Here is a 13,620-nt window from a genome sequence, read left to right on the forward strand (position 1 = left end):
CGGCTACCTCACAACGGTCCACACCTCCACGTAAGATTTTATAGAAGCAGCGGCTACCTCACAACGGTTCACATCTCCACATAAGTTCAACTTAAATCAAAAGTTCTGAAATACATTTAATAATGTATTTCAATCCAATCAGGGCAGCTTAAAATCAGTTATATACTCAGAGATTTTATAGTTAAAAAAATAAATAAATAAAATTTTCATTTGGGAAAAAAGTTATCTGTCAGGCCAGGCGCGGTGGCTCACGCCTGTAATCCCAGCACTTTGGGAGGCCGAGGCGGGTGGATCATGAGGTCAGGAGATCGAGACCATCCTGGCTAACACGGTGAAACCCCGTCTCTACTAAAAATACAAAAAATTTGCTGGGCGTGATGGCGAGTGCCTGTAGTCCCAGCTACTCAGGAGGCTGAGGCAGGAGAATAGCGTGAACCCGGGAGGCGGAGCTTGCAGTGAGCTGAGATCGAGCCACTGCACTCCATCCAGCCTGGGTGACAGAGCAAGACTCCGTCTCAAAAAAAAAAAAAAAAGTTATCTATCCACTAAAAGGAAAAAAGTAACAATCTTTTGCAGTGGCACGATCTCGGCTCACGGCAGCCTCCAACTCCTGGGCTCAAGCAATCCTCTTGCCTCAGCCACCCAAGTAGCTAGGACCACAGGTGCACACCCCAATGCCTGGCTAACTCTTTCATTTTTTGTAGTGACAGGAGTCTTGCTTTGTTGCCCAGGCTGATCTCAAACTCTTGGGCTCAAGCGATCTTCCCACCTCGGCCTCCCAAAGCACTGGAATTACAGGCGTGAACCACCACACCCTGACAAAAAACGATAATCTTCAAAAGAGATTAGTCAGCTACGGAAATATTAAGAATACACATAATCTCTCTAAGCCCAGAACAGGGAAGTTCTAGGAGAATATTTGAATTTACATTTCAAATTCAATAATCTCTCAGCATCAGAAATCTGCTCGTGGGGCCACGTCAACCCCACTGTGGTAGAAGAGCAGCTGCAACCCCAAAACAGAAGCACCCGGGGCTACTCAGGCTCGACACGCAAGCAGCGGACTTGAGCTCACAACCCGTATTCTGTGTGGGAAGCACCTGCCCTGGCCTGGAGGAGCACAAGATCTAACGGACACACCCCTGGCCACAGGACACACCTGTGGGCAGACAGCTGCATCCACAGGACACACACCTGTTTGCTGGGCACACCTGTGGCTGCGGCAAAGGCTCACAAGCACTTGGTACATCTCAGGTCCCCGTGTGGCACCCCCGTGCGCGAGGTGCCCCTTCAGAGAGGAGCTCCCGATCCACACTGGGGCACAGGTGCCAAGTCTCCAAAGAGTGGGTGCTGCGGGCTGCAGGGACCAAGGGGCACCCGCGGCTGCACTGATGTCAGGTTGCCCAATAGCTACCCTAGACCCTCAGAGGGACGCCGCCTCTGCTGTCTCCTCCAAACACCGCCTCAGCTTTTTCTGAGGCTTCTTGGTATCTGCTTTACTTATATATCACGAATCTCAAGATCCTTCCCTTCAAACAGAATCGCTTATGAAACGGGCATCAGCATAACCACTCTGGTGACCACAACAACCTGAAGCCATGCTCCAAACTCACAAGCCGCGTCACCGTGCAGGTGCTGGGGGCACAAACCCACGCATGGCTCTGCCTCAACCGCCGACAACCAGGTGCACGGGACGCTGCGCAGTTACACCGTGCAGGCTCTGCCCCAGGTGCACAGGACGCGGTGCAGTTACATTGTGCAGGCAGTGAGGGGGGCTGCGTGGGGCCTGTCCTGCCAGGCAGGCAATGCGCCAGCACACTGTGCTTTTGGGGGCTATTTCAAACCCCAATAGCCACCAGGAGAGGGAGAGGTGGTCTCCACAGTGCACGCTAACGAACTGAGGGCCTCAAAACCAGCACAGCTGGGAGGGATTCAGCGGCGAGCCTGTGCTTCTAGGTCCAAAGCCCGGGTGCTCCCACCCATCGTGCCGTCCTGTGCTGGCACCAGGTCGGCCAATCCTCCCTGGGATCCGGGGAGCAAGGTCATGCACCTGTGTCCCCAGCAGAATGACCACCGGCAAACAGGCTCCGCCAAACGTGGCTTCTATCCTCCTCCTCCCTGGGTCAGCTGGAGTGAAGGAAGAGTGGCCTCTGCCGAATGCGCATAGGAACGGCCCAGCCTCTAGGGCCATCTTGGAAGTGGCGGTGCCCATCCCAAATCCTCTCTCCAACAGACTCCCGGAAGGTGACGGGTGTCCATCATTGAGCGCCTTTGAAGACTGTAAACAGGCGCGCTGCTGTTGAGGACGCACACTTCCCACTCACTCCAATCCTCTCATTTGAGGACGAATGTGCCCTGGCCACAGCCTGGATAGATGCCTGTGTCGCAGGACGCAGACCAAGGAAATCTGAAGACCGCGATGAATATACTCCATTTGCTGCACTGTGTGTTCAAAGTATTAATTTAGGGGGCAGACTGGGGTTATTTTTCCCCGCGTCCCTAAGGAGCTCTGCCCGGAAGGCTGTTTGTTCTAATAAAAATGTAAAACAGCAGGCGTGATTCAGGCGGTAGTGTGTCTGCCGCATCCACCGGACGCCCGATCCGCGTAGGGCACAAGGCAGGGAGGGCGGGAGGCCTCGGGTGCCCCCTGCTGGCAGCGCCTGGCACGCGGCGTCCCGGGCCTCCGGCTCCTCCCCTAGGGCCCATCCCTGCGTCTAATTCCAAACCACTCAGCGGGCAAGAACGACCCTCTCAAACATCAACTCACACTGTTTTACCACATTCACACTTGATCTCTCTGTTTTGCCTCTGACTTGAAACCTGCATTTCCGTTAGGCTCCACTTAAACCTTTCATTTAAAATTCTGCTTAAGGCCGAGTGCGGTGGCGCACGCCTGTCATCCCAGCACTTTGGGAGGCCGAGGCGGGCGGATCACCTGAGGTCAGGAGTTCAAGACCAGCCTGGCCAATATGGTGAAACCCCATCTCTACTAAAATACAAAAATTAGCAGGACGTGATGGCAGGCGCCTGTAATCCCAACTACTTGGGAGGCTGAGGCAGGAGAATCACTTGAACCTGCGAGGCGGAGGTTGCAGTGAGCCGAGATCATACCATTGCACTCCAGCCTGGGCAACAAGAGTAAGACTCCATCTCAAAAAAATAAAATAAAATAAAAATAAAATAAAATAAAATTTTGCTTAAAATGTAATCTAACAGGCCAGGCACGGTGGCTCAGGCCTATAATCCCAACACTTTGGGAGGCTGATGCAGGAGGATCACTTGAGGTCAGGAGTTCAAGTCCAGCCTGGGCAAAATGGTGAAACCCGGTTTTTGTTTTTGTTTTTTTATATATACTTTAAGTTCTAAGGGTACATGTGCACAACGTGCAGGTTTGTTACATACGTACACATGTGCCATGTTGGTGTGCTGCACCCATTAACTCGTCATTTACATTAGGTATATCTCCTAATGCTATCTCTCCCCCCTCCCCCCACCCCACAACAGGCCCTGGTGTGTTCCCCACCCTGTGTCCAAGTGTTCTCATTGTTCAATTCCCACCTATGAGTCAGAACATGCAGTGTTTGGTTTTCTGTCCTTGTGATAGTTTGCTCAGAATGATGGTTTCCAGCTTCATCCATGTCCCTACAAAGGACATGAACGCATCCTTTTTTATGGCTGCATAGTATTCTATGGTGTACATGTGCCACATTTTCTTAATCTGGTCTATCATTGATGGATGTTTGGGTTGGTTCCAAGTCTTTACTATCGTGAATAGTGCCACAATAAACATACGTGTGCATGTGTCTTTATAGCAACATGATTTATAATCCTTTGGGTATATACCCAGTAATGGGATGGCTGGGTCAAATAGTATTTCTAGTTCTAGATCCTTGAGGAATTGCCACACTGCCTTCCACAATGGTTGAACTAGTTTACAGTCCCACCAACAGTGTGAAAGTGTTCCTATTTCTCCACATCCTCTCCAGCACCTATTGCTTCCTGACTTTTTAATGATCACCATTCTAACTGGTGTGAGATGGTATCTCATTGTGGTTTTGATTTGCATTTCTCTCACGGCCAGTGATGATGAGCAGTTTTTCATCTGTCTGTTGGCTGCATAAATGTCTTCTTTTGAGAAGTGTCTGTTCATATCCTTTGCCCACTTTTTGATGGGGTTGTTTGATTTTTTCTTGTAAAGTTGTTTAAGTTCTTTGTAGATTCTGGATATTCGCCCTTTGTCATGAGTAGATTGCAAAAATTTCCTCCGATTCTGTAGGTTGCCTGTTCACTCTGATGGTAGTTTCTTTTGCTGTGCAGAAGCTCTTTAATTAGATCCCATTCATCAATTTTGGCTTTTGTTGCCATTGCTTTTGGTGTTTTAGACATGAAGTCCTTGCCCATGCCTGTGTCCTGAATGGTATTGCCTAGGTTTTCTTCTAGGATTTTTATGGTTTTAGGTCTAACATTTAAGTCTTTAATCCATCTTGAATTAATTTTTGTATAACGTGTAAGGAAGGGATCCAGTTTCAGCTTTCTCCATATGGCTAGCCAGTTTTCCCAGCACCATTTATTAAATAGGGAATCCTTTCCCCATTCCTTATTTTTGTCAGGTTTGTCAAAGATCAGATGGTTGTAGATGTGTGGTATTATTTCTGAGGGCTCTGTTCTGTTCTATTGGAAACCCGGTCTTTACAAAAAATACAAAAATTAGCTGGGCGTTGGCCGCGCGTGGTGGCTCACACCTGTAATCTCAGCACTTTGGGAGGCCGAGGTGGGCGGATTACCTGAGGTCAGGAGTTCAAGACCAGCCTGGCCAACATGGTCAAACCCCGTCTCTACTAAAAATACAAAAATTAGCCGGGCATGGTGGCACATGCTTGTAATCCCAGCTACTCAGGAGGCTGAGGCAGGAGAATCACTTGAGCCTGGGAGGTGGAGGTTGCAGTGAGCCAAGATCATGCCACTGCACTCCAGCCTGGCCAACAGAGCTAGACTCTGTCTCAAAAAAAAAAAAAAAAAAATTAGCTGGGCATGGTAGTGCACACCTGTGAGTCCCAGCTACTAAGGAGGCTGAGGTGGGAGAATCACCTGAGCCTGGGAGGCAGAGGATGCAGTGAGCCAAGATGGTGCCACTGCACTCCAGCCTGGGTGACAGAGCGAGACTCTGTCTAAAAAAAAAAAAAAAAATGTAATTAACAGATAAATCACCATTTTAAAGTGGAAGCAAGATACCCTTGGCTCTAGAATCAAACTGCCAGTGGCCAGGAGGGCTCTGGGGAAGACAAAGGTGGCCGCAGCCATCTGTCCAGATCAAGTTTAACTCACCTACTCTAAGAACTGCTCTCCACAATTATTTTGGTGAAACTGTTTTGTTTTCAGACAAGGTGTCACTCAGTCACCCAGGCTGGAGTGCAGTGGCATGATCAGGGCTCACTGCAGCCTCCACCTCCCGGGCTCAAGCAATTCTCCCACCTCAGCCCCCTGAGTAGCTAGGACCACAGGTGCACACCACCACACTCAGCTAATTTTTTTTTTTTTTTAATTTCTTACAGAGACAGGGTTTCACCATGTTGCTCAGGCTGGTCTCGAAGTGCTGGGCTCAAGCCATCCACCAGCCTCAGCCTCCCAAAGTTCTGGGACTACAGGCGTGAGTCATCACGTGTGGCCTGGTGAGACTAACTTTTTTTTTTCTTTTAGATGGAGTCTTGCTGTCGCCCAGGCTAGAGTGCAGTGGTGCAATCTCAGCTCACAGCAATCTCCACCTCCTGGGTTCAAGCGATTCTTGTACCTCAGCCTCCCAGGGAAGCTGGGATTACAGGTGTGTGCCACCACACCCAGCTAATTTTTGTAATTTTAGTAGGGACAGGGTTTCGCCATGTTGGCCAGGCTGGTCTCGAGCTCCTGGCCTCAAGTGATCCTCCCACCTCAGCCTCCCAAAGTGCTGGGATTACAGGCACAAGCCACCACGTGTAGCCTGGTGAAACTAATCTTTTAGCAGGAAAACGTTTTGAACAGACACATCACAAAGAAGAAGCATCAGCAGGCACACATGGACAGAGGCTTCCCCAGCTGTCGGGGAAGTGCGCCCGGAACCACAGCAAGCTCCCCCATGAGAGTGGCCAGGACTAAGAGGCAAGGCCACACCATGTGTCCTCGAGGACACGAGCACCTGGAGCCTGCTCAGCTGCTGAGGGCACATGGAACGGTGCAGCCGCTGTGGAAAACAGTTCAGCAAAGCTGAACTCCACAGGACCCAACAACTCCGGTACCTACCCGAGAAGCAAAACCACCTGTCCAGACAGACTCATGCGTGAACGTTCACACCAGCTTCGCTCAGAACAGCCAAGGTTTGGGAACAACCCGAATGTCCAAATGTGCATCAACAGGTGAGCAGGTAAACACGGGATGCTTCCAAACTGCAGAGGCAGCTCAGGCACAAGAAGGGGCTGCTGGGCTCCGTCCCGGCCTCGGCACCCTGGGGCACCTCCCTGCTCAGCCTTCCGTCCCCCTATACAGGTCACATCCACGCCACACGGATTATCCCACAGTTACGCTGAGTAAGAGAAGACAGTCACCAAGGAAAGCGTGTGATTCCCTTTATAGGAAACTCTAGACAACAGAAGTGAGTCCACAGTGGCAGACAACCGGCCAGGGGCTGCCTGGGCTGGGGTAGGGGGAGAGGCTGCGGGAAGCTCCTGTGGTGATGGTGAGAGTTGACAGCATGCTGGCAAGCCCTCACAGCCCTCACTCACTCTTGGCGCCTCCTCGACCTCAGCGCCCACTCTGGCTGCACTTGAGGAGCCCTTCAGCCCGCTGCTGCACTGTGGGAGCCCCTTCCTGGGATGGCCAAGGCCGGAGCCGGCTCCCTCAGCTTGCGGGGAGGTGTGGAGGGAGAGGCGTGGGCGGGAACCGGGGCTGCGTGCGGCGCTTGCGGGCCAGCTAGAGTTCCGGGTGGGTGTGGGCTTGGCGGCCCCACACTCGGAGCGGCCCAGGGCAATGAGGGGCTTAGCACCCGGGCCAGCAGCTGCGGAGGGTGTCCGCCAGCAGTGCCGGCCCACCGGCGCTGTGCTTGATTTCTCGCCGGCCCTAGCTGCCTCCCCTCAGGGCAGGGCTTGGGACCTGAAGCCCGCCATGCCTGAGCCTCCCCCTCCCCGCAGTGGGCTCCTGCAGAGCTTCCCTGACGAGTGCCCCTCCCTGCTCTACCGCGCTGGGTCCCATCAACTGCCCAAGGGCTGAGGAGTGCAGGTGCACAGAGCGGGACTGGCAGGCAGCTCCACCTGCAGCCCCAGTGCCGGATCCACTCGGTGAAGACAGCTGGGCTCCTGAGTCTGGTGGGGACTTGGAGAACCTTTATGTCTAGCTAAGGGATTGTAGATACACCAATCAGCACTCTGTGTCTAGCTCAAGGTTTGTAAATGCACCAATCAGTACCCTGTGTCTAGCTCAAGGTTTGTAAATGCACCAATCAGTGCTCTGTGTCTAGCTGATCCGGTGGGGACTTAGAGAACCTTTATGTCTAGCTGAGGGATTGTAAATACACCAATCAGCACTCTGTATCTGGCTCAAGGTTTGTGAACACACCAATCAGCGCCCTGTATCCAGCTCAAGGTTTGTGAATGCACCAATCAGTGCTCTGTGTCTAGCTATCTAGTGAAGACTTGGAGAACTTTTGTGTCTAGCTCAAGGATTGTCAACGCACCAATCAGCACCCTGTCAAAATGGGCCAATCAGCTCTCTCTAAAACAGACCAATCAGCTCTCTGTAAAATGGACCAATCAGCAAGATGTGGGTGGGGCCAGGTAAGGGAATAAGAGCAGGCTGCCCCAACCAGCAGTGGCAACTTGCTGGGGTCCCCTTTCATACATTGAAAGTGTTGTTCTTTTGCTCTTTGCAATAAATCTTGCTGCTGCTCACTCTTTGGGTCCACACTGTCTTTATGAGCTGTAAGACTCACCGTGAAGGTCTGCAGCTTCACTCCTGAAGCCAGCCAAGACCACGAACCCACCAGAAGGAAGAAACTCCAAACACGTCTGAACATCAGAAGGAACAAACTCCAGACACGCCGCCTTTAAGAACTGTAACACTCACCGCGAGAGTCCATGGCTTCATTCTTGAAGTCAGTGAGACCAAGAACCCACCAATTCCAGACACAATGGGGACGGCCTGTGTCTCCAAAGCCACCGGCAGCTCCACCCAAGAGTTCGAGCTCATCAGATTATGCTCGTTAAACAAGTGCTGTTTGCTGCACGTAAATTATGCCTCAATAAAGGATTAGTTTTTGTAAAAATATTTTTCCTCAGCTATAATCCTGTGCTTATCCAAGGACCTCACTGCCATTTGTTACGGGTTGAACCCCCCGCCCCCGCCTCCCAAATTCATGTTGAAGCCCTAACCCCTCATATTTCAGAATTCCACCTTATTTGGAAATAGGTCATTGCAGATGCAATTAATTAAGATGAGGTCGCTGGGGCTGGACACGATGGCTCACACCTGTAATCCCAGCACTTTGGGAGGCAGAGGCAGGCAGATTGCTTGAGGCCAGGAGTTTGAGACTAGCCTGGCCAACATGGTAAACCCCCGTCTCTACTAAAAATACAAATATTAGCCGGGTGTGGTGGCGCACGTCTGTAATCCCAGCTACTCAGGAGGCTGAGGCACAAGAATCACTTGAACCGGGAGACGGAGGCTGCAGTGAGCTGAGATTGCGCCACTGCACTCCAGCCTGAGTGACAGAATGAGACCCTCTCAAAAAAAAAACAATGAGGTTACTGGGGGCCCCTAATCCAGTATGATAAGTACCCTTAAAAGGGGAAGAAATTTGGACACAGGTCGGCACAAAGCGGCAGCGGCGGAGGCCCCGGCAAGAGGCTGGAGAGAGGCCTGGAGCAGACCCCCAGCACCCTCCCAGAAACCGCGGCGGGCCGACAACCGAACCTCAGACCCCCAGCACCCTCCCAGGAACCGCGGTGGGCCGACAACCGAACCTCAGACCCCCAGCACCCTCCCAGGAACCGCCGCGGCCGACGACCGAACCTCAGGCCCCCAGCACCCTCCCAGGAACCGCGGTGGGCCGACAACCGAACCTCAGGCCCCCAGCACCCTCCCAGGAACCGCCGTGGCCGACGACCGAACCTCAGGCCCCCAGCACCCTCCCAGGAACCGCCGCGGCCGACGACCGAACCTCAGGCCCCCAGCACCCTCCCAGGAACCGCGGCGGGCTGATGCCCAAACCTCAGACCTCCGGCCTCCAGGACTGGAGGGAACAGATGTCTGTTGTTTACGACGTTCCCTTTGTGGCCCTTTGACATGGCAGCCCCAGGTCACTGACGCCCCGTTTCTACCACCAAAGAGCGCGATGCCACAGACGCCAACAGGAGGAAACACGTTTCTGGGCAGCTCTGCCCACTCTTGCGAAGAAACCCACCAACCCGGCTCCCCCAGGGCACCTCACCAGCAGGAACCAGGCGTGGGCACCATCCCCCAGGATGCCATCCAGGCAGGGACCAGTGTGGGCACCATCCCCCAGGGCGCCTCACCAGCAGGAACCAGGCACCTCCCCTCACACCAAGGCGTTCATGGTTTACCTTCTTCTGAAAAAATTAAGGTTAAGACATGAATACTGTGAAACTGTCGTACAAATTAAATTTCATATACATCATATTACCATTGTTCGTGGTCGCATTTCAAAATTTTTAAGTGAGCTCCTGACTAGAAAACACTCCAAGACATGTTAGCAGAGTCGTCTTTCGACAGCGAGACCGGTGGTACTATCCACATCATCTCCAGTGAGCAAGTGGGTGCTGGCGATGAGGACTTTAGGTTTTCCACATGGCAGCCCCCATGTGGCCATCTGAAGATGCAAAGCCATGTCTGCCGGCCCCGGGCTGCCCAGGCCCCGGGCTGCCCAGGTCTCTGTCGGAGGCCCTGCCAGCCCCGCCCCTCCCTGCCCACTGGCCCCTTTCAGTTCCTTCATCTCCAGCCCGGCTCTGACGCCCAGGCCGCCTCCTCCGCCTTCCCGAACCTGGCTACCGTCACTTCCTTCTTTTTGTTTTTGTAATGGGGTCTCACTCTGTCCCCCAGGCTGGAGTGCAGTGGCGCAATCTCGGCTCACTGCAGCCTCAACCTCCCAGGCTCAAGGCATCCTCCCACATCAGCCTCCTGAGCAGCTGGGACCACAGGGGCACGCCACCACACGGGCTAATTTTTTTGTTTTGTAGAGACGGGGTTCTGTCGTGTTGCCCAGGTTGGTCTTGAATTCCTAAACGAACCTGCCGCCCTGGCTTCTCAAAGCGCTGGGATGATAGGCGTGAGCCACTGCACCGACATAACGTCACTTCCTTCTGTCGGGCGTCCCCAGCCAGAGCCCAGCACGCTTCCCCTTTCCAAACACCTCTCACTGCCCTGCGCTGTCCCATCTCAGCCCCAGCCACCAGGGTCTCGGTGGGCTGTGGGGTCCCTGAATGGAGGGGCTTCCACTCCCACCTCAGCAGCTCCAGGCCTCAGCATCCCTCCAGCTCCAGCCAGGTGCCCACCAGTCACACGCAGGGGAAGCCTGGAGCAGTGCCTGGCTCGGGCCATGTGTGAGGGTGGCAGGGGTGCCTCCAGATGGGCACAAGGTGCTCTGGGCACCCAGGAGGGGGCCGGGGCAGCTGAGCTCCTAGTCTGTCATTTGGGTTATAGATGACACAGTGGAACAGGTCAGATCTGTAAAGGCGAATCCTGCCATGAATCACAACAGCAGTCCTGAGCCCTCTCAGCCAATGGACACAGCCTCCCCCTCCTCCAGGAAGCCCTCCCGGGCGTCACTGTTCTTACACTGACAGCACACATGCCACCTCGCTGCCTGACACTGCCCTGCCCTCCTCTCAGCCCAGGGACCACATCTCAATGCTGGACAGGCCCAACACATACACTTGGGGTCAACAAAACTACAGTACCAGGCCGGGCACGGTGGCTCACGCCTGTAATCCCAGCACTTTGGGAGGCCAAGGCAGGTGGATCACCAGGTCAAGAGATCGAGACCAGCCTGGCCAACATGGTGAAACCCCGTCTCTACCAAAATTAAAAAAATTAGCCAGGCGTGGTGGGGGGCGCCTGTAGTCCCAGCTACTCGGGAGGCTGAGGCAGGAGAATCGCTATAACCTGGGAGGCGGAGGTTGCAGTGAGCTGAGTTGGCACCACTGCACTCCAGCCTGGGCAACATAGTGAGACTCCGTCTCAAAAAAACAACAACAAAAAAAACCTACATGACTTTTTTTTTTTTTTCTCAGAAGGAGTCTCGCTCTGTTGCCAGGTTGGAGTGCAGTGACACGATCTCAGCTCACTGCAACCTCCACCTCCCGGGTTCAATTGATTCTCCTGCCTCAGCCTCCTGAGTAGCTGACATTACAGGCTCACACCACCATGCCTGGCTAATTTTTGTATTTTTAGTAGAGACGGGGTTTCACCACGTTGGCCAGGATGGTCTCGATCTCTTGACCTCGTGATCCGCCCACCTCGGCCTCCCAAAGTGCTGGGATTACAGGCATGAGCCACCACGCCCGACCTACAGTACCTTTTGAAAATTAAATCTGTAATACTGATTTACAGTATTTCAAAAATGTCTCATACTAAGTGCTGATAGAAGGTAAAATGAAACAGCAGCCGGGCAGTGTGGTACACACCTCTAATCGCAGCACGTTGAGAGGCTGAGGCGGCAGAATCACTTGAGCCCAGGAGTTGCAGGCTGCAGTCAGTGAGCTCCGATTGCACCACTGTGCTCTAGCTGGAGTGACAGAGCAAGACCCCCATCTCTAAAGGAAAAAAAAAGACACAGGGAGGAGAGAAGGTCATGTGACCACAGGCAGAAACTGGAGTGACAAAGTCACAAGCCAAAGGATGCCTGGAGCCACCAGGAGCTGGAAGAGGCAGGAAGGACCCTGCCTGGAGTCTCCAGAGGGAGCATGGCCCTGAGACACCCTGAGTTCCAGCGCTGGACTCTGGAACTGAGAGGAGACACCTCTGCTGCCGCGAGCTGCCCAGCAGGTGGTACTTTCACAGCAGCCCCAGGAAACTAATACACAAAGCCATGCATCAGCTTTTTTTTTTTTTTCCTTTTTTTTGAGACGGAGTCTCGCTCTGTCGCCCAGGCTGGAGGGCAGTGGCACGATCTCGGCTCACTGAAGCCTTCGGCTCACTGCAACCTCCGCCTCCTGGGTTCAAGTGATTCTCGTGCCTCGGCCTCCCCAGTAGCTGGGATTATAGGTGTGTGCCACCACACCCGGATAATTTTTTTGTATTTTTAGTACAGACAGGGTTTCACCATGTTGGCCAGGTTGGTCTCGAACTCCTGACCTCAGGTGCTCTACCCGCCTCCGCCTCCCAAAGTGCTGGGATTACACGCATGAGCCACCATGCCCGGCCCCAACTTTTAAAAATATTATAATTTTCTCAGAAAGCTAATCAGCTGGCTGGGAAAGGTGGCTCACGCCTGTAATCCCAGCATTTTGGGAGGCTGAGACGAGCGGATCACCTGAGGTCAGGAGTTCGAGACCAACCTGGCCAACATAGTGAAACCCCGTCTCTACTAAAAGTTAAAAAAAAAAATTAGCCTGGCATGGTGACGGGTGCCTGTAATCCCAGCTACTCGGGAGGCTGATGCAGGAAAATTGCTTGAACCCGAGAGGCAGAGGTTGCAGTGAGCCGAGAACATATCACTGCACTCCAGCCCAGGCAACAACAGTGAAACTCCATCTCAAAAAAAAAAAAAAAAGAAAGAAAAGAAAGCTAATCAGCTTAACAAGGCAAGAAAACTATTTGTGTACATTTTAAATCTGAGATACTGCTATGGCTAACTCTGACCTGAAATGGTAACTTCAAAAAAAATAGAACCTAAATAAGAAGGTTGTAATACCTGCTTAAAATAAAGGCAACACTATGCTCTCAAGGAATATGATGGAATCTTTCTCTTTTTTTGAGATGGAATCTGGCTCTGTCACCCAGGCTGGAGTGCAACGGTGCGACCTTGGCTCACTAAAACCTCCACCTCCCACGTTCAAGCGATTCTCCTGCCTCAGCCTCCCATGTAGCTGGGACTACAGGCGCCCACCACCACGCCCAGCTAATTGTTTTGTTTTGGTTTTTTTTTTTGAGATGGAGTCTCGCTCTGTCGGCCAGGATGGAGTGCAGTGGCGCCATCTCGGCTCACTGCAAGCTCCGCCTCCCAGGTTCACGCCATTCTCCTGCCTCAGCCTCCTGAGTAGCTGGGACTACCAGCGCCCGCCACCACACCCGGCTAATTTTTTGTATTTTTAGTAGAGACGGGGTTTCACCGTGTTAGCCAGGATAGTCGCGATCTCCTGACCTCATGATGCACCTGCCTCGGCCTCCCAAAGTGCTGGGATTACAGGCGTGAGCCACCACGCCTGGCCAGGATTGGTGTTAATTCTTAAAATGTTTGATAGAATTCAACAGTGAAGTGATATATACAATCATATACATATATAGAGAGAGACAGAGATGGACTTTTCTTTTGTTGGAAGTTTATTGACTATTGATTCAATTTCTTTATTGAAATTGACTTTTCTTTTTGGAAGCTAAAAAGTACAATAACTGTAGTGAAAGTTTCTGAACTTTTCTTTC

The 13,620-nt window shown here is 52.6% G+C and overlaps 1 protein-coding gene across 12 annotated transcripts in view, besides 1 other annotated feature; it reads right to left on the reverse strand.

Moving 5' to 3' along the window:
- The window catches only part of ZBTB46 (zinc finger and BTB domain containing 46), a 90,226-nt gene that overhangs the window by 50,003 nt on the left and 26,603 nt on the right, over positions 1 to 13,620 (reverse strand). Inside the window, exon 1 of one of the 12 annotated variants that reach the window (NM_025224.4) lies at positions 11,664 to 11,831. The exons of 10 other annotated variants lie outside the window; for them this stretch is intronic. The gene's annotated coding sequence lies outside the window, so the exon portion shown is untranslated. Of the gene's footprint in view, positions 1 to 9,664; positions 9,873 to 11,663; positions 11,832 to 13,620 lie in introns of those variants that run through there. One more of the 12 variants, XM_005260195.5, reaches the window with a different exon arrangement.
- Positions 8,512 to 9,013: an enhancer, noted in NCBI's record as "H3K4me1 hESC enhancer chr20:62433537-62434038 (GRCh37/hg19 assembly coordinates)". NCBI's record gives its function as "activates a minimal SCP1, AML or CMV promoter by ChIP-STARR-seq in primed H9 embryonic stem cells {active_cell/tissue: H9 hESC(primed)}" and the evidence as "EXISTENCE:reporter gene assay evidence [ECO:0000049][PMID:30033119]".

Source organism: Homo sapiens, chromosome 20 (genome assembly GCF_000001405.40).
Source record: "Homo sapiens chromosome 20, GRCh38.p14 Primary Assembly".
Classification (NCBI taxonomy): Eukaryota; Metazoa; Chordata; class Mammalia; order Primates; family Hominidae; genus Homo; species Homo sapiens.